General features: G+C 45.3%; 1 protein-coding gene across 6 annotated transcripts in view, besides 1 other annotated feature; it reads left to right on the top strand.

Moving 5' to 3' along the window:
• MED27 (mediator complex subunit 27) overlaps positions 1 to 21,228 on the top strand; it is a 219,756-nt gene that overhangs the window by 685 nt on the left and 197,843 nt on the right. For 5 of the 6 annotated variants that reach the window (NM_001253881.2, NM_004269.4, XM_017015329.2 and 2 more), the window contains exon 2: positions 1,597 to 1,741. In NM_001253881.2, the coding sequence (NP_001240810.1) occupies positions 1,597 to 1,741 (145 nt within the window). Of the gene's footprint in view, positions 1 to 1,596; positions 1,742 to 5,440; positions 5,833 to 21,228 lie in introns of those variants that run through there. The other variant, NM_001253882.2, reaches the window with a different exon arrangement.
• Positions 2,343 to 3,542: an enhancer, noted in NCBI's record as "MED14-independent group 3 enhancer chr9:134951028-134952227 (GRCh37/hg19 assembly coordinates)". NCBI's record gives its function as "activates an origin of replication core promoter dependent on BRD2, BRD4, P300/CBP and CDK7 cofactors, and independent of MED14, by STARR-seq in HCT116 cells {active_cell/tissue: HCT116}" and the evidence as "EXISTENCE:reporter gene assay evidence [ECO:0000049][PMID:35650434]".

Here is a 21,228-nt window from a genome sequence, read left to right as displayed (position 1 = left end):
CCACCACCACCCACCCGCAACCACGACGGACCGGCCAGGCCTTGAGCTGTCTTCACCTTTTCCCCTAACCGCTCCCAAACCACCTGATCAGTTTCCTCACTCCCACTCCTGTGGGAGTTCCTTCCGCAGTAGAGACCTACTCTCTAATCTCTTAACCAGTTTAATTACTTATGCTTAACGCCCCTGCTTCTTAATTTGTAGTCTTTTAGGGTTAAGGATTCCACTTTTCCTCCTCTTCCTTACAAAGTACCTTCTTCACTTACACTTTTTAAGTGTTGTAAGAATTAAATGAGAGGATGTTTGTAAAGGGCCTGGCACATAGTAGGCACTTCTTGATTGCTTAGGTCCTGAACTTGCCTTCTGTTTTATAAGAGAGTCAGTCCTTCCCAGGAAGGTTAGAATTTCAGGATTTTTGCCTTTTACTTCTCAGAACTGACCTGAGTAGGGGAAAGCATTTGGTGAGCTAGTCATCCTTTGATTTCTGGACTGGTTGGATTTTTGTTTTTTCAACTTGGTCTCCTTAGTAACCAGATGGAAAGAGGAGGTAGGATGGAGGAGGAGGAGGAGGAGGTGGCCAAATGATGGGTGCCTTTTTGTTTTCCCCCTAAGTAGTTGCCGTAAATCACACAGCCCTCCTCAACGCCCACATCCGCTTGCTGTTCTCTGGCACCGCGCCGAGCACCAGTTAATACTTTCTCTGCTTCAGGGGATGCACTGGCTATTCTTCCCTATCTTCTGTTTTCTTTCCATTTTCTCTCCGAGTTACTTCCCTTTGTAATGTTCAGGATATTATAACCCTTCACCATTTTAAATAGAAACTTTAAGAGTGCTGACATTATCCTTTTGCCTTCTTAAATCTTTGTACAGTAGTGCCAAGAAGAAGGTGGCTGATGATTCCAAAATGAATGTGGCATAAGAAGCTGTTCCTAGAGAGTCTTTTGTTGGCAGTTTGGGACTGGCCCCTCAGAACGTACTCCTGGAATGTGCTCTTGTTGGCTCGCTTTCCCAAGCTTCTCTAGGGTTTTCCTGCTAGACTGAAGTGTGTTTGTTTGACACAGCCACCTCAGTGGTGTCTTCCCATTCCATTTGTTTATTTTATCTCTTCTTTGTTTTGTTAAGTTTTACCATCTGTGAAGCATCATGTACAAATCTATCCCTATGTGAATGATAAATAATCATCATTTAATCAGGTACTTGCTGTTCTGCCAAGTGTAATGATCTGCACGTGGGTCTGAAAACTCTTAGTGAGAGGCAGTGTTATACCACATTTCAAAATTCCAGAAAGTCTCCTCCCCACTGCAGGGATGAATTTGAGTTGTTAATTTCTGATTATGGGGGTCTTATTGATTCTACTGCCCTTACCTTTTTTTTCCTCCTTTGGAATGGCACCAGAAGCTCTGTTTTAAAGTCAGATAAACTCTCATTTAGGGTTTTTTTTTTTAAGTGTCCCAAGTATTTTTTAACCTTTCAAAAAGTATTTCTTCTTAAGGGACTTCTGATGGATGGTTTGAAGAGCAGTCTTTGATCCTGGGGGCTGGCTTTACCCTGGAGTGTAAATGGGCTTAGGTTTATTTGCCTTGTCTCTTTGCTTTTCAGTGAGCTGGAACGTCTGAGCAATCTGGTAGGCAAGCCATCTGAGAACCATCCTCTTCATAACAGTGGGCTGTTAAGCCTGGATCCTGTGCAGGACAAAACTCCTCTCTATAGTCAACTCCTTCAAGCATATAAGTGGTCAAACAAGGTAAGGGAGATGTAATAAACGGAGCTAATATATGGAAAACCAAGTTTTCTTATATTCCATACATGCAGAAAGCAAGAGTATGTTTTTATTGCTTTTTATGTTCTTGATTCAGCATGGGGTTATAGAGTTGGAAGTTGTAGAATTTTTCTGTAACCTATTTTGTAGTCCTTTGAAGTCTTTGGGGATTCATGATGTTCAGGTGATTACATGTTAAAAATTCTAACTCAGGTGTATTTAACCTGGAGACTGGGTATAGGGAGCAACTCTTATGAACCCCTTAAAATTATATGCAGTATGTTGTGGTATGTGCATGTATATCTAGGGAAGGCTTCCTAGCTTTTGTCAGGTTCGCAGAGGAATCTGTGGCCCCCAGGAGGTGTCTAAATGTTTAGCTGCGCACATTATGTTCTTGTATTGTCTTTTCCTCTGTCACAGATGGATGAGCATCACTAGAATACCGTTTGTTAGATGACTCTCTAATTACTTAGATGCCACCTAAGGGAGATTGTTCTTAACATGCTCTGTAGAGTTTGATATTCATGGTTTCTTTCAGCAGGCAGGCCTGTGGCAGAGACCCTAGGACAGCTGTAAGTTGCAAACTAAACTGTAGCTGAAAAATAACAGAAACAATTAGGCTCATGAATCTGGAAACGGTTCGTTTGTTTACTAACAAGTTCCTTTTGTTTGGGTGCTATGTGGTGTGGCGTACATGTGTGTATGGGCTTTTTTTGTTGATTGGGAACTAGAATATATATTTTAGGAATGATTTTGGAAGCTCTTTTATTATACTGTGCTGCCTCTTTGAATAATTGTTGTTAGAATTGTTGGTTGTTTAACTGTATGCAGGGTTGTGCCCCCTCCAGTAATCCATTGTCATTTTCCTCGTTTCTGTGGTTTTTTTTCCCCTTAGGTCTTGAGTAAGAGCTAAAGCTTGAGAGTTTTTCTGGTGTGCAGAATTTTTTCTTTGAATTTCTCTTTGAGGGTGTTTTAGTATTCTTTGGTTTGAAGTGGAACCGTGGGAGCTGCTTTGTGATTCAGGAAGGTGATTTATCATGGGTTACTAAAGAAAGAACTTGAACCTTGAATGCATACATTTAGCCTGTAAAGCCTTTCCCCAAAACTCTGGACTGCCAGTGACAGAAACCCAGCTGGGTCTAGATTTAGCCAAAAAAAAAAGCATGGGGCCTTCATTGGTTCAAGGAACTAAAATGTTCAGGGAGTTACTTCTCTGTGGCTGAACTCAGGAGGATCAGGGTGCTTGGGTGGGTGGCAGGAACATCACTCTCCTGCCCTCTCTAGGACTGCTTTCCTTTGTTGTCCTGATGCTCTCCAAGGGATAAAAAACATGACTCAGCAGCTGTGGATATACATAGTTCTTATACCTGGTGACCTCCCAGTGTCCATGTCAGGCTCTGAAAAAGGATTCTGGCCCAAACTTGATAGGTGCCCTCTGAGATGATTCACTGCACCCGTGGGTGGGATCCTCAGCTCAGAGCACCTGAAACACAGGAAATGGGGTTCCTTGGAGTTGGGAGAGAGGGAGTTCCCGGAAGGGATGGATGCAGGGCAGTTGGAGAAATCACAGATGTCTGTTGCAGTTTTTTAGGCCAGACGTGGGACTGTTCCAGCTCTACACAGATAGGTGTTTGGAAAAGGAAGCCATGTTGATGTATTCCATGGGTAAAGTTCTCAAAATAGGCTACAGTGACAAGGGCTATTCAGTGGTGAGAAGATTCAGGCTGATCTCAAAACCATGAGTGAGTGGGACACTTCGTGGAAATGACTAGTCTTACATTGAAGTGATGACACTGAACTTTTGAATGAAGGTAGTTTAATCACTGAATTGTTCTACTATTAGAAGTTCCTACTTCAACCCCCACCCTTGCCCCACAGTGGAAAATAGGTTGTATTAAGGAAAAGAAATGTTATGTATGTGGAACTTCTTGTGCTGGAAATGCTACAGGTTAAAAATATCCGTATGCATTTATCCCAGATTATAAATCTCATATGAGCAATGTGAGGAGGTGTCGAGGTTGTAGCCATGCCCCCGGCCTGCTGAGGTTAAGCATCTGTAAAAGAACCATGTTCTTTCACCAGCACAAGAGAACAGTTAAGAGACTCAGCCCCTTATTTTAGAGGTGCGCAAACTGAGGCCCAGTAAACTGACCTGTTTATAGCTCCCCAAGCTAGACCAGAATTTGGGTTTCCTGACCTGGTTCAATGTTCTTTCCTCTAAAACTTGATGTTTTAGTCCAGTTTTGCTTAAGGTTTTCAACTGTAGAAAACAATTTTTTTCCCCGTTTACTTGCATCCTGGAAACAATTCACATTATATTTTATTCATGAAACTGTATGTATTTTTCTAATTTTTAGTGATTTATCAAAGGGTGGAGATGGCAAATACATGGTACATGGATTCTTAACCTATTGCTTTTTCTAGGGCAGACATCACTAATCAACCATTGCATTCTTTCCTGCTGAGGCTGTGTGTATGTTGGCTTAGAATCCTTGTAACTCTCTGTTCTGGCGCTAGGCAGCCACTGCCAGTTATTCAGAGGAGGGCGGCAAGGAAAACATGTTTTTTATTTCTGTTATAGCAGATAATGTCCTATGTGACTATTACTTATTTATACCTTACCTTTTTCTAGAAGGGATTTAAAGTAGATTATAAGAATACACAAAACCCTGAAAGAAAAGAGGGAGAACAAGGATGAGGATGTCTATATACATTTCTTTAATAAACACAAAAAGTAGCCTCAAGAAATAAGCCAGTACTCTAATTTCCAGCTGGGAACATGGAAGAAGCAAACAATTAATTATATGTGTTTATCTTGCCTTTCCTACAAATGAAAAGAGCTTTTTAATTGGTAAAGCTTTCATCATTCATCATTTTACCCTCAAAGAGTTTAAACCAGTAAGTGCGTTAATGGGTTAAGTGAAGTTTGGGGTAACTTGCCAATGTCAGCTCTATGCACTATTGGCTAAGAATTGAAGGACATATGAGAAAGGCTTTGATACCCATCCATTATGAGATGAACTTTCTGTTTTATGTGCTGTTGGCCATAGAAAAGTCTCGTTCATGCCTAATGACTAATTATTTTCTTTAGGGGATTTTGTAATTTTTGTAAAGTCAGTTGGAATATTAATTACATGGTACTTGGCATAATTGTTAGAATAACATGTTTAAAAATGAATCCCATCTAATGGAATGATGTTAAATTGCTGTGAGCAGCACTTTTCCTGTACTGAATTGGGGAAAGAATTTAGCTTTTCACTATTATGCACCTATAGATAATTGTTGTGAGAAGGATGACAAGCTTTCTTGACTAGGGCAAAAAATAATTGGCATCAACGCTGTCCTTGCTATAAAATAGTCAATGTAGACTTGATAGTGCTTATTATGTTCAGAGATGCTGAGAGTTAACCTGAACTTATTCTGAAGGTCCTCTTTTGAAGGTTTCTGGCATCCTGTCACCAGGCTTTTATTTCTGGCTTTGATTTTTTTCATTTGTTTATGGCAGAAGGCTACTTGTATATTTGCCTGGAAAAGCAGACTAAGACGTCCGCCTTTCCCTGGCAACATCTGAAGCTGCAAAGACCCCAGAAGTGTCACTTTTTACTGGGCTTGGGAAATGGGCCCAGAGCGAGGTGCTGCTGCTACCTTTTTTTTTTTTCACGTTTGATTTTTTTTTTATTACAGAAAGAGCAACTTTCTATTCCAAGAATATTCCATTGGAAAGTCTGAAGACATTTCCTCCCTCCTGCCCTCCTGAACTGTTCTTATTAGAATCCAGTTGCTTAATGACTAAGTTACTGCAAAGTTCACCTCTCACATCTATCTCTGAAGGTGCTCTTTTCTGTTTTTGCATCATGGAACTAACAGGGTTGGAATCGTTTTACATTGCAACGCAGAGCCTTTCCTTTAGGGACTCTGTCCTCTATTAAGGGTAAACTATAAGGCTCAGGGGAGAGGCACCATGTCCATCTTGTTCCTTGCTGGGAGTCCCCAGCAACTAGCAAGGCGCCTGGTACACTGTAATCATTCAGTGAAGATTCACTGAGAGAATGAAAGAATAAATGAATCGAAGCGTTTTCTGTTGAATTTTTAATTTACAACCCCTTTCGTGGTTTGCTTGCTTGTATTTTTGATGAAGTACAGTGAGGGCATTTCCATTTTCAGCCATTACTGAGAAAGCCAGTTGTGGTGCTTGGATGGGAGGCAATTTGGAGACCTTATGATGGAGGCCAGGGCTGGGGGTCATTTGGAAGGCCAAGGTGAGGTCATTGGGTGAACCAATGATAAGCTCTTTGAAGGCTGATTGTAGCAGTTTTATCCACATCATCTGTCACCTGGTGTGCCCTTCTAATGGGACTTGGTGGAAGTTTTTTGGAGTTGCCTGAGTCAGGCTAATTTGAGCTGCTGCACCTGATGTCAGGTGTTCTGTGGCGGCTGTCATTTTGGCAGCAGTGTGAAAACTGTCTGGGAAGAGGAGAGTCAATTCCACCAGCCTCTTAGGGTTATCCTACTTTGTGAGTTACGTATAACCGATTTCTACTTGTGTTTTCCTTCCCACCAGGCCCACCCCTGACTCATTCTTCTCTCCATATAGCTGCTACATGTTCAGGGAATACAGATTCCTTCAGAATATAATAGGAGAGAAAATCACTTAAATGCCCCTCACAATTTAATCATCATGACTTTAGGATTGAGCACCCTTCTGAATTGTCCTTTTATTGGCAAAGGTGTTCTTTCACCTAAATCTAACCTTCGTAGCACCCCATCACTCAAAATGAACTTGCTAGCGTAGTGAGTTTGGCTGTAGTATAGACTGCCCTGGTTAGCCTTGAACCCTACACCCTCCTCCTCCCTCCCCACCTGCAAACCCTGGATACCGTGGGAGCCATTGTGAAAAGAACAGCCAACCAGAGAAAACAATGAAATACAGCCAGTCTCCTGGACAGCAAGATACATGGCAGGATTCAGAAGTCAAGGAAGGTATAACAAAAATATAAAAACTTAGATGTAAGTTCTGGAGTCAAGACTACCTGAGTTCTGATCCAGCTCTGCTTATGCTTGAGCTCACAACCCTTGATACAAGGGAAAAAAATCTTTTTGAGTATCAGTTTCCTCATCTGTAGAATGGGGATAATACTAGTATTTGGATCATAGGGTTGAAGCGAAGATTGAGATAATGCACATCAAATGTCTTAGGGTAACTCACACATAGTAAGTGCTAAGTAAATGGTAGTTATAATGACCAGGCATCGTGATAGTACACATGTGTGTACTCATTTATGGAACGTGTGTTACTTGTACGCATGTGTACTCATGGAGTGCGTGTTACTCATATGCATGTGTACTTATTTATGGGGTGTGTGTTACGCAAGTGCCTGTGTGCTCGTTCACGGGGTGCGTGTTGCGCATACACGTGTGTGCTCATTTATGAGGCGTGCGTTACTTCTGTGCCTGTGTACTCATGGATTGCATGTTACTCATATGCCTCTGTACTCATTTATGGGGTGTGTGTTACTCATATGCTTGTGTGCTCATCCATGGGGCGCGTGTTATGCGTGTGTGTGTGTGTGCTTGTTCATGGGGTGTGTGTATGTGTGTACTCACTTATGGGGCGTGCATTACTCGTATGCATGTGTGCTCGTTCATGGACGTGTGTTACTCGTATGCATGTGTGCTCGTTCATGGACGTGCATTACTCGTATGCATATGTGCTTGTTCATGGACGCGTGTTACTCGTATACACGTGTGCTCATTCATGGGGCACGGGTTACTCATGCGTGTGTTCGTTCATGAGGTGTGGGTTACTTGTATGCATGTGCTCGTTCATGGGGCACAGGTTCATGGGATACGGGTTACTTGTGTGTTTGGTGTGCTCGTTCATGGGGTGTGTGTTACTCGCATGTGTGTGTGCTCATGGAGTGAGTGTTACTCGTACGTGTATGGACTTATTTGTGGGGTGTGTGTTACTCGTGTGTGTGCTCATTTATGAGGCACCTGTTATTCATGTGTGTGTGTGCTCGTTCATGGGGTGTGCGTTACTCGTGTGTGTGCTCATTTATGGGGTGCATGTTACACGTATGTGTGTGTGCTCATTCATGGGACGCCTGTTTCTCGTGTGTGTGCTCGTTCATCAAGTGGCAGTGTTGCTCGGTGGTTCAGAGCGTAGGCTCCAGAGCCTGACCACTCTGGCTCACATGCTGTGTTACCTGACAGCTGTGAGGCTAACCTCTCTGTGCTTCAGTGCTGTATTCTCTAAGATGGGAATGATAATTGTACCCACCTCAGAAAGGTGTTATGAGGACAAAATGAGGTGATACAAGTAAAGCACTTAAGCTAGCACAGAGTCAGTACTCTCCAGTGGCTGCTATTATTGTCTTAAGACGATGCTGAGGACAGGTTCCAGGCAGTGGTGGCCCATCTTCCAGTGGCTTCTGCTCCCTCACCAGGCCTCCCACACCTGACTTTGCTATTCTCCTGAAGTTCTTCACATTGGAGATTCTGTTGAATAATCAGCACCTTTTCCAGTGAGACAGCAATTCACACATTAATATGAATTAGTGTGTGGGGGGCAGTTCTTTCCTCACAGAACCTGGGGGTGGAGGTAAGGGACTGGGGGTTTGGTGGGGGGTGTGGGAGTCGAGGGGCAAAGGCAGGGCGAGGATCCTGGGGACAAACCACAGGAGTGGTGAGAGGACCATGGAGAGGAGGTGAGAAGGGCATATTCTGCCCCAGGCAGATATTTGTGCACACCAAAGGGGACTCTTCTCATCTTGGTACTCAGTAAGAGCTAGGAAATCAGATCTGTTTTATAGTCCTCTTACCTGGTGGGAAAAGTCTTGTGGGCCAGTCTGGGATTTTTAGCCTTTTTTTGAGACAGGGTCTTGCTGTGTTGCCCAGGCTGGAGTGCAGTGGCACAGTCATGGTTCACTGCAGCTTCAGCCTTATGGGCTCAAGAGGTCTTCCTGCATCAGCCCCCCAAGTAGCAGGGACTACAAGCATGCACACCCACGCCCAGCTAATTTTTAAATTTTTTGTAGAGATGGGGGTCTCACTATGTCGCCCAGGCTGGTTTCAAACTCCTAGGTTCAAGCCATCCTCCAGCCTTGGCCTCCCAAAGTGCTGGGATTACAGGCATGAGCCACCATGCTCGGCAAGCCCTGTTTCTTTAGGACAATATCTGAACACAAAGGCTAATTTAGAACTTTTGGATTCTCTCCAGGTTGTAAACTGGGTGCTTGTTATCAGCAGGGCTCTGGAGTCAGACTTTATAGGGTTTGAATCCTTATCCCCCTTTTCCCAGCTTTCTAATTTGGGACGAGTGGCAGAACGTGTCTTTGCCTCAGCCTCCTCCTCTGTTCAATGTGGATAACAGTAGCTTCCACCTTCCGGGGCTGTCGTGGGGACTAAGGCATTGAGCACATCTGAGGGACCTAGGCCGGTGCCCAGTGTGGCGTGCTTGCGGCGACTGTCCTTTATTCTTGCTCATTTTAATATGAACGGTGAAGCTGTGCCTGGCGGTGTGCAGTCAGGAGAACTCTGACAGAGCATTCTAGAGAGCACTGTTCAGTCTCGGCCTTCCACTGTCCTGCTATGTGGCCTCCTGCCAGTGGCTTTCCCCCACTGGGTTTCACCTTCCTCATCGGTAGGATGAAGGGTTGGGCTGGGTGATCTCTTCAGTCCCTTCCAGCTCTGCCCTGGAGAGGTTCATTGGAGTCATCATTGCATTTCTGTGGTCGTGGAAACAAAATTGTAATCCGAGGAATGGAGAGTATTTCCACCTCTTCAGCTCTAGTCCAGTAATGTTTCTGAAGTACACACAGCCTTTTTGTATGCTCCAGAGCATCTCAGAATATCCCAGAGTGGAGCAGCAGCCCCCAGGGACTTTAGTGGAAAATTACCTTGCAAAGGTTCTGCAGACAGCATTCGCCTCTTGTGACACACCACAGGTAAATATTACTGAAAATCAAGCCATGCCCCTATCATTCTAAACGGTTTCTATCCCAAGGCTTTGGCCCAATTCCATGTCTTTATGTTCTACTTATTAGTTGTGGTTTCTGAAAATAGTCACTTTATTGTTGCCTGGAATCAGGTTTGTGACTCCCTCATTCTTTTCTGTAAAAGAGCAGGAACTGTCTTTGGAAGCCTCACTGGCCGGCCCCAGGGAGGCTGCAGAGGCTGCTGGACGTGTGTCAACTTGCCGTCTGGGAGCCACTGGCCATGGGGACTCATGTTGATACCCTGCTTGACTCTCTTCCATCAGCCTTTTCTGGGATGATCAGGTTTGTGTGGTTTGTCCAGAGCCTTCTGTACATTGTAACCAGAGCCTATGAAGGGCATTTCCTCTTCTCTTCCAGGAATGTTGAATAGAAAGGAAATTGTCTCTGTCATTTGTCCTTATGCAAAATTGCACATTGGTGGTGGGAAGGAAGCATATCATTACATGTACAGAAGCCTCCCGTTTTCTTGTCTTCTCTCTTCATGGTGGTTTGGTTTGGGAGAAGGCCGCTGGGTTATTAGTGCTTCTCTCCCTTCTCTGGGCCATCTCATCTGTTCTGTGGCTTCACTTGCCAGCCACACACAATGACATCTAACTCCATCACCAGGCTGGCTCCCTCCCTCGACATCCAGACCCATGTATCAAAGGGCCCAGCTGGACAGCTGCCCTTGGAGACTCACAGGCCTCTCAGACTGAAGCAGTCCAGAACTGAAATCCTCACCCCCACCACCAACCTGCTTCTCGTGGTGGGATGCCTTAGCCAGCCACCTACCCAGATCCCTGGGTGTCATCCGTCGCTTCTGCCTGTCCCTCACACCCTCTGACAGATCTATTGATTTCCCCTCTTCACAGCCTCTCAGCTCTTCCCTCTCCATCTTGACTGGTACTGCCTCTCCCCGGGCCTCCATTATTGCTCAGGGCAATGCCGCAGCCTCCCCACTGGTTTCTGGCCTGTAGTCTACCCTTTCTAATCTATTTTCCACTCTGCAGCTCTCGAGGGATCTTTAAAATGTAGAGATCTGATTTTGTCACTCTTCGGTGATTTCCTCCCTCTCTCTCAGGATGAATTCCAGCTCCCTCGCTGGCACTTGGAGGCTTTCTAGTAATAGTACACGGGAGCCCGAGTCCTTTGGCCGGCTTACCTAGCCTCAGTTTCCTCATCTGTAAAATGCCACGAGTAGTCCTGCCTCTTAGGGTAGCAGTGAGGATGATGTGAATACTGCATGCGAGTGTGTGGCCCGGGGGAGTCTCTGTACATGACCTGTTGACCGTTAGCAGCCCCAGCACAGGCCCGTTGTTGTCGTCATGGTCTAGCACCACTTGTTCTTCTAGCTTGTTTCCTCCCCCCTTTTTGCGGGGGGAAGAAACCCTTTTTATTATGAAAACTTTTTATTATGGAAAATTTCAAATATGCACAAAAGTGAGAGAATAATGACCTAGCTTCAACTATTACGAACATTTTGGGCCGAGGTGGGCGGATCACGAGGTCAGGAGATGGAGACCATGCTGGCTAACACGGTGAAACCCCGTCTCTACTAAAAAATACAAAAAATTAGCCAAGCATAGTGGCGGGTGCCTATAGTCCCAGCTACTGGGGAGGCTGAGGCAGGAGAATGGCGTGAACCCGGGAGGCGGGGCTTGCAATGAGCCGAGATCACACCACTGCGCTCCAGCCTGGGCGACAGAGCAAGACTCCGTCTCAAAACAACAACAACAACAAAAAGAACATTTTGCTAAATTTGTTGCATGCTTGCTTGCTTTTTTGGTTGGGGGGCGAGGACTGGAGTCCATACGTGAAAATGGAGCCCAGACATCCTGCATTTTGTCTATGGAGACTTTAGTGCACAGCTTCCTCTCTCCCCACTTTCCCTGCTCTTCTTCTTTTTGCCACTTCTAGTCTACAGAAGTAATTGTCGTTCCCCAAGGGGCCATCATCTCTTTGTCTTGGGGCCTTTGCACTTGTTCTTCCTCCTCCTTTCTTTCTGTGGAAAACTCTTAGTCATTCAGGTCTCAGCTTAGTTGTTAAACATCTCTGGGAAGCAAGGCTTTGAGATGCATCCAAATTAGGTGCTCCCTGTGTTTACCCCATGATTGCCTTTACTTGTCTGTTTTCCCTGCAAGATGAAGGCTTGTCCTGTATTAGCCCTGAGACTTTGGGCCAGTTACCTGACACCTGCTGGACTGTGAAATGGGCATGGCGCTGATCTCACAGGGCTGTTCTAAGCATCTAACTGGAAACTGTATATCAAGTTTCTAGTTCAGCGTTGGACACACAGTGGCATTTAATAAATGGTAATTATTTGTATTAACGATTTCTAAGTGTGCAATAAAACAGTATTTGAATGGAGTGAAATTGGAGCCTCTGAGTCTCTTCCTCGGTCATTTTTAGATTGTGGTTTCTTTTCCTTCTGAATCTGCCTCTGTTTGCATCACCTTAACTTTTTCAGATTTTGGTTGTGGCTGTTGTCAGGTGCAGGAGCACTGAGAGGCAGGAGGCCTGGGAGTGAGTGCCAGGAGGCTTCTTCTCCAGTTCTTTGGCTGCTATGTGCTTTTATTTTTATTTTTATTATTTTTTTCATTTTCTTTCTGGCAGTAGAAGATTCCCAAACTATGCTCTGTGCTAATCTTAGGGATCCTCTGCGCTGGCTCAGGACTTCTGGCCTGTGTGCGGGAGGGGAGCTGGGGCATCTGTTTTGCCTCCTGCTCACTGCACTTTTCTTTGGCTTCTGGAACTTGCTCTCTGCATTTCCTTTGCCGCAGTCACTTACTTGTTTTGGGAGGCACCAGCTCACCACAGTTTCTTGGGCTTGGTGAGGCCTGTTGCTGGGGCCAGTCCCTGGCCAGGGTCTTGGCTCAGCTTCTGCTTTTCCTTGCTGACTTCTCCAGGTGAAGGGAACTCCCTAAGACCCTCACATCACACTGGGGACGGTTTGCTCATCTAGTACTTGCTGGCAAGTCAAGAACTTTGTTGTCTTTTTATCACGTTGCCAAACTTGTTTCAACCCTGGGAATTGGAGGCTGTTTCTGAAGTCTCCTCCAGCCTCATCTGTGGCTGCTCTGCGAGATGCACCCTGGGTCAGCTGCAAGGAGCCTGCAGAGGTCAGCTGTGCCCTGCTGCTCGCCATGCCTCCGCCTGGAATGCCTTGCACTTTTGCGAATGCATTCTTTCCTCCAGCCCTGATAAAGTGTCTCTTCGATGAAGACCAAGCAGAGCTTAGCTCAGCCGGCTTTGCCCCACAGCCTCTGGGCAGTCACGCTGACCACACTGCGGCTGCCTGCTCTATGGGTCTGGCCCCGTTCTCCAGGGTGGGGACTGGAGTCGTCTTGGCATGCCTGGCACTGAGTACAGAGCAGGCATGCAGTAATTGAGCACCACCTCTGCCATGTTTCCAAGCACACTCCAGGGACTGTACTTCCTTTGACTGTTAGGGGACCTTGGTGACCAGGTTGGGCATCACATCTCATTTGATAGAGAGTGACTTGTCCAAGGCCATGCTGCTAGCCCTCTAACGGGGACCAACAGTATTTGGCAGCTATAAAAGGGAATGTCAGCAGAATGTCCAGAAAAGCAGAGAGGTTTCTTCTACCATTGAGGCCCATTAAGGTACTGCCTTTTCCCCCGGGCGACACCCATCAGTGCAGCAGGACCAGTGGTCCGTCCATGAGACATACCAAAGGGAATCACTGGGGACAGGTGTGATCCACAGACAGCCATATGGGGCCCAGCCCGGGCATGGACATAGCTTAGAGGAATTGCCTTGACCTTTATGAGGAAGGCAGCTGCAGGCCTCTCAGATTCGGGAGTGGCAGGCACCCTTGTGTGCGTTAAGCTCTAGATACGGTAAGTTGGGATCTGAGCAACTCACTGGCATCTTTGCGGGGTGTCTCATGAAAGAGAAAGGTACTGCCCAGGAGCCCCTTACTGGGGTGGGAGGGGGCACAAAAGAATGACTGTGTCAAGACAGGCACCACCCCTGCACCTTTTTGTTTGTTTTAAACAGGAATCGTACTTGGTCACCCATTGGGTTCATAAGTTGAGATGCCCGCCGCTCTTCTCCTTTCCCTGTTTGCGTGTGTCTGTGTGTTTCAGCACTGGAGGGTTATGGTAGACCACTGTTATTTTTAGTCAGTAGGCTTCACTGATTACTGATTACTTATCAGTAGTTCCCGCCACGGTGCATTCTGGTCTTAGCCCTCTCTTGATGCCGCTATACGTGTTAAATTTTGAAGGATGAGAATCTGTAGATTTTGAACGTGTATATGCATTAACGTGTGAGAAAATGGTCGCACTTGCTACCAGTGTGCTAATTCTTAATCATTTCCAAACTGTGTTTTTGGGTAGTGTGCTTTTTGCTAGGAAATATCCTGTCCATCCAGTCTATATGCATTTATTGAGCACCTCTATATTCCAGTTGCTGTTCTACACACAGTGAACGAAGCCAGTAATTCCCTACCTTCCTGGTCGACAGAGGACTAAAGTGCCCAAAGCACCTAGTTTTAGTAAGAATTTCTGGCCCTACTGCTTGTCTTTTCTAGTTTTATTTTTTCCTTAACCAGTGGCCTTAAATGCCTCAGCTTACCAGTCCTTCCTGTCAGAAAGGACCATGACAGAGTGCCGGGTGACTTAAATTGGCAAATGTAACTTATCCAAAGCAGTGTCTGAACATGAAGGAAATTTTGTCTTGCTATCCTGGTGTCTTAAATATCACCCAGTTTTTATAGTATGGTGCATTTTAATTCTGCTCCACACTTAGTGCAAATGTATTGTTAGCGATATACCGTTTTCTGGCTTATTTGCCTTTGGCATGGCACCAGTTTCCCTTATCCTTTTCTAGCCTAAGGCTGTGCTCTCTTTAAGGGATTCTCATTGATTGGAAGAGAACACTATATATCTTACATTTGTGGCCCATGGAGGAAAGGCAACCACTCAATCAGCTTTAGGGTTCCATCGACCTCAGACGTGACTCAGTTGGTCTGTTTCTATCATGAGATAACTTTCTACATGTTCTTTGAGATATGTATTGGTGACTCTGTAGCAAAGAAGCTACATATTTGTTATTCCTTTTATCTCGGACTGGGTCTGTTTACATCTCCTCTAGATCCCCGAAGGCCGATTTTGCCCGTGCATGAGACCGGCCTTATTCCCTGACTTCAGCACCTCCTCCGGGTATGCTGGGTTCCCGGATGCTCTGTATTCTCTTGGTGTGTCCGATCACCCACCTGCTCTTCATCCAGTCATCCAATCATAGCAAGATTTATCTACCTTGCCATTTAAAGTCACACTTGGTATTCTGCATGTTTCCCAGAATTGAATGCATTGATTCAAACTACTACATCATCCATGTTGTTTGTGATGAGAATTGGAATCACCTGAGTTTCAAGATAGACTGAATTCTTGATGTCTTAGTGAGGAGAAAATGATGAAGTGACCATTGAAGAGCTTTGTTTAGCAACAAGGCGGAAGTGCGTTTTCCTTCCGGTGTCTCCATGATAGTTTCTGTGTGCTTTAGATCCTCTCCAAGTTTCTTCCACTTCACCTGCCAAATGGGTTTGAAGATACTCCTTTTTCCGGGTGGTGAATGCACCTAGCTCGGGCTGGCACATAGTAGGTGCCCAGTAGGTCTAAGTTTTTTGCTCATTACCCCAGGCTCCCATCTGCCATTCCCCCTGCCCCTGAACACTTGAGCGGTGGAGGTGTTCCTGCCTAACTAGATTCCCTTCACACTCAGTTTGGATAGCATCCATGCCAGCTCCAAATGCCTTTAAAGTGTTTAAGAAACTAGCAGAGGATTATGGAGGCCAACATTCCCCTATCCCTTGTTTTTCCCAGTCTAAAACAGAACAGTCCGTGTTAATTTTAATTGCTTGGATGAGCTCAAACATTGAGATTTTAATGCATTTTCACAGTAGCTCAGACAGCATAACCACATTATCCTGCTGGCAGTTGGTTGGAATCCTCGGCCAAAACGTTGTACTTGGGGACCTCAGCTCATAAAGCCAGAACGTGGTAATTTCCTAGTGAGATGTCTTGTGGGGAATGTTGCTTTTCCTGTTGAGACTTCCTCCAGATAGTGAAGTGTTGTCCTTCTCAGTCACGTAGTGATGGGTACGTACTGCTTTCAAGGAAGGTTTCAGAGCTCTTGGCTAGCTGAGGGGGTTTCTGGGGGAACTGCTTTATTCTTATGAGTTGCAAAATGGAAAAGGCCTATTATAGGCCTCCCATAAGCAACCCAGATGGGAACATTGTCACTGTCTGCAGCCTGGCGTGCTCTGGAAGGCACTTCCTAGTGACTGCATCTCCCATCTCCTCAGATGATACTAATGAGTTTGCTGCTAACTGAATGAGCAAATACTCCCACCCTGTTTCAGGCCATCTTTTGTCACTAGGACACTTGCAACAGCTTCCTCACTGAGCCCTGTCTTACATCTGGTCCTTTTCCCACATAGTCAGAGTGACCTTTCAGAATGCAAGTTTGATTACGTAACTGTCTTGCTGAAAATGTATTGATGGCTGGGTGCAGTGGCTCACACCTGTAATCCCAGCCCTTTGGGAAGCTGATGCTAAGGATAGCTTGAGCCCAGGAGTTCAAGACCAATCTCGGCAACATAGTGAGACTCCGTCTCTACAAAAAAATGAAAATATCTGCCAAGTGTGGTGGTATGTGATAATCCTAAGTCCCAGCTACTCAGGAGGCTGAGGTGGGAGGATCACTTGAGCCCAGGAGTTTGAGGCTATAGTGAGCTGTGATCACCCCACTGTACTCCAGCCTGAGTGACAGAATGAGACCCTGTCTGTTTAAAAAAAAAAAAAAAATGTATTGATGACTCCTTCTCGTGCTCAGGATGAAGACAGTCTCCATAATGTAGCTCGTTATGTGGTCCAGGTCTGGCTCCCATTGCACCCCAGCTCTGGTACTTAGTCACCTTGAGCCACCATACTCAACCTGCTGGCCCTTGCTACTGCCTGAGCTGTTGCCATGTTCAGATGGGCCCACCTCACTTTATGCATGGCGAATACTTTTTCATTTTTCTATATTTGTTACTTGAGAGTCTTTTCTAACTCCCCAAGTTGGGGTGAGGCAGCCCTCCTATGTGCTTCTGCAGGCCACCTGCCCGCTCCCGTGTTGCCCACATCATGGCCTGATTCATGCTGGACTGTAGGTACTGATTACCTGGACAGGGCCTGGGGCCAGTTGGGCATGTTCCCCATTGTATTTCCAACATCTAGCAAGTCCATCAGAAGAAAACAAACTAACAAAACACTTTCAGTTAGATGAGTAGCTTAATTATCTTTGAAGACAATATGATAGCTTTAATTGGGCGTATTTTTGAGAGGAGGTAGGAGCATAGGTAGGATTCCAGGCCCACTTTTCTGCAGGTTGGTGGGAGATGACTACTAACTCCTGTGTCTCCAGAGCACATGGCTGCTGCAATGTCTGTGTTGGGCTTATGCATTCCACTCACAGCTCGGCTTGCTGAAGGAGCATGCATATTAAGGCTTGTTTTTTTCTTTTTTAAAACTAGTTTGGGGATACAAACAGAAGGTAAATTATCCTGATTATTTTGAGGCAGTTATGAAAAGGGCAAAGAAAGGATACAGTGAAAGTCAGAGAAATACCTTATGTTTATTTTAGCCCTTCACAGTTTCTGAAGCATGGACATGCCTGTCATTGCATCAAGCCAGGAGCAGCTGCGATGAATGGGGTGAAAGCCTGGGCTCTGGGGCCCGGTGGGTGGCCTGGGTGCCAGCCCTGCTGCTGCCCTTTAGTAACTGGTGACGTTGTTCAGCTCACTCCTGTTTCCTGATCTGTAAAATGAGGTTGATGGCAGGAGTGATTTGTAAACAAGGCATTTTATTAATAAAATGTTTAGACCCTTCTTAAAATACAACAAATTTTATAGTGATTAACATGTTATGCTCTATAAAAGTTTATTATAGACCATTCAAGCTAAAACAATATAGTTTGAAAGTATGCCACATCAACTTCACTTACCAGCTACTAGCAGTGTCAGTATAAAAAGCAAGATCTTACAACCAAAGTCAAAAGGTGTAAAGTGTGGTTATTTTTATACCTTAGCATCACCTCCAGTTCTAACCATGCTGGCTGAGACTGAGACATACCCTCCCATAGCCACTCCTTGGCCCTCAAGGGACAGGGCCTGCAGGCATGTGCTGTGAATAAGGCACCGTTGGCCCTTTTAGCTCTGACTTACTTTTCATTTGGAGAACTTATGTCTGAAGTTAAGGTTCAGCATCCATCCATCAAGGTTTCACCCACATCCTTTTGCCGCCCCCCTTTCTATCCTAAAGTGTCCTTTAGTGTTGGAGAAATGGCTGTAGATGCAGAAAGGCTCTTGTATCAGTCCATTAGTTGATGAAGAAAGAGCTACTTGTAGGGTGACAGGAGATGAAAAGAAACTTAAAACTTGTAGACACTGTCCTCTGAAAGAAAAAAGGGATTTGTTGTTGTTGTTGTTGTTTGAGATGGAGTCTTGCTCTGTCACCCAGGCTGGAGTGCAGTGGTGTGATCTCCACTCACTGCAACCTCCGCTTTGTGGGTTCAAGTGATTCTCCTGCCTCAGCCTCCCAAGTAGCTGAGATTACAGGCACCTGCCACCATGCCTGGCTAATTTTTGTATTTTTAGTAGAGGCGGGATCTCACCATATTGGCCAGGCTGATCTTGAACTCCTGACCTTCAGTGATCTGCCCGTCCCAGCCTCCCAGTGTGCTGGGATTACAGGCATGAGCCACTGCGCCCAGCTGGGAAATGTTTGAAACATTTTGTTTGAAAACTGAATTTTCCAGTTGAGCAACACAGTGTGCTTGGTGGGGACCGTAAAGGGTTTCCTGTAGAAGCTTGGAAAGGGCGGCCCTTGAAGGAAGCTTCTATAGAAATGGAGCCATCATGTGGGACCGTGCAGTGGTCACAGTCGGGTGGGAGGGGGAGTAGTAAATTTTGCCGTCTCTCTGCACATTTGTCCAACTGATGAGAAAGGCCTTTGAGAGTTGGCCTACATCAAATTTGCCTTATGACAGGGATATCTGTATCTTACAGGTGTACATGGAGCTGGCAGCCAAAGAGGTCAAGCTTGTGTCTACAGCTTTTTGTGAACACTCATCTTCTTCCACTGTGTCTGTCTGCCAGTGGTGACGTGTCTGCATTTCGACAAGATGGTGTGTCACTGCCTCCCCCAAAACAGGGGGCCACCCATTTCCTCATTCTCCCATTAATCTCTACGCATGGGGGTCATACCTATGCTAATCAGTGATTCTTCTACAAAAAAAATGGAAACTGAATTTTTGTTAATTTGTTTCTGTTTTTCTACCTTGAAACCAACTTCCCAGCAGCATTAGGTAACTAGATCAAGTCCAAGCTCTGCAGTTTCTTTACTGTGTCCTTGGGTAGGTTGCTTGACCTCCCCTGAGTCTTAGTTTCCACATCTTTAAATGGAGAGAATCATGGTTCCTACCTTCTAGGATGTCTGTGAAGACTCAGTGAGCTAACCCTGGTAAAGAACTTAGCTCAGGGCTCCCTCAGTGTTAGCTCTGAGGAGTATGATAATGAAATTTATTAGTGAGCATTGGTACTAAATATATCAACAGTCACCTAAGCTGCCATTCAGACTGGTAATACCAAGCGAGGAAGTTGAGGGAAGTCGTATGTCCCTGTATCACAAATCAGCAGACAGGGATCTTCAGCTGGGTTTTGGGCAAGGCGCATTAATGGCTGCTTTCCCGAGGATTTATTTCCAGCCATGATGTACAAATGGCTGTGGGTGTTGAGGCTGTAATGGATCTTGTGTTTAAGGCTTCCACTGTCGCGGCTCAGCAGAGCCCTCCCTCGGCCCGCCCCTCAGATTGCTGCCTCTGGCTCAGAGCATGACTGCATCTCTCGGCCCCATCACCTGCCAGCTCTGAGCTGGTGGCTGTGAGGCGCAGCCTTGGCATTGCTGGCAGGTTGGTCTTAGGAGAAGCTAGGCACTAGAGCTTGCCAGCACAATTTGTACTTTGATTAATTTATTTAATTTATCTTGTGTCAACCTGAGAGGATCATTATGCACAAATTACTGTTGAAACTTGAAGCTGGCCTCCCTTTCACTAAGCCCCCAGGCTGGTCTGTAGTGCTCCACCAGAGTCTTTCTGAGGGTGATCTGTTCCTCTTGCCCTCTCTGAGATACCAGACTTTCTCCAAAGTTCGGGTTAGAAGCTTTGAAGAAAGGACTTGTTTGGATTCTGGTCCCGTATGTTGTGTCTCAGTTGCGGAGAGCTGTCCCCTTTTATCTTTGCATGTGAGTTAAATTTCATTTTTCTGCTAAGTAGTGTGAGTCTGTAGCCGACTGCTGCTGCTGCTTCTTTCCAGTCAAGTGGGGTTTTCAGAATGGGGCCCGAGTGGGCTTAAAAGTTCCTTCAGGGATGGGAAGGAGGTGTGCACGGTGGGGAAGGGTGACACTCACCAAATCGCTTCTGTTTTATTGAATGTAAAGTGCCATAAAGTGTAAGACGCTTCATTCTTTGTACCACTAAGAAAGATAAAGCACTGCCACAGGTAATTTTCAGACACTGTGACCGTAAAATGCATCATGATTTCAGGTTTTAGAATAAGTGACATGTGATATGTTGTTAATGGGGCTGGTTATAAAACCCTTAGCTTTTGATACAGTTTCACTGAAGTTGTAGAGATGTGGATTTGGAGAGCCCAGATATTTGTGTCATCCGGTGACCTTCACGTGACCTTCTATAGGAGTCTGTTCTCACGCTGTTATGAAGAAATACCTGAGACTAGGTAATTTATAAAGAAAAGATATTTAATTGACTCACAGTTCCGCATGGCTGGGAAGGCCCCAAGAAACTTACAATTGCACTGGAAGGGGGAGCAAACATGTCCTTCTTCACATGGCGGCAGGAGAGAGAAGTGCTGAGCAAAGGGGGAAAAGCCCCTTATGATACCGAGAGAGAAGTGCTGAGCAAAGGGGGAAAAGCCCCTTATGATACCATCAGATCTTGTGAGAATGAACTCGCTGTCACGAGAACAGTGTGGGGATGACCACCCCATGATTCAGTTACCTCCCACTGGGTCCCTCCCACGACATGTGGGGGTTATGGGAACTACAATTCAAGATGATATTTGGGTAGGGACACAGCCAAATTGTACCATCTTCCAAGTTGCTAAAAAAGTAATGTACCCATCTCTCTGTGAGGTAGGAAGAGGGAGACCAGTGTCCCTAGATTATGCACAAAAAGATTGGAAAAATCATGTTATATTGTGCTTTTTATGTGTGACTTTCAGATGATCACATTCTACATATTTTCACTCAGCTTAAAGTTTTTACTTTTAAAAGTGGTGGCCAAGCCTCATATAATTCTTAACTTTAAAAAAATAGGATTATCACTTGACAAGTTTTTTTTCTTGAGGATAGAACATTCCACTCTGTTAATTTATTATTTTGTTTATTTTTTAGAAATTAGGTTTTACT

This window comes from Homo sapiens, chromosome 9 (assembly GCF_000001405.40).
Source record: "Homo sapiens chromosome 9, GRCh38.p14 Primary Assembly".
NCBI lineage: Eukaryota > Metazoa > Chordata > Mammalia > Primates > Hominidae > Homo > Homo sapiens.
This window is presented reverse-complemented; position numbering and strand designations above follow the sequence as displayed.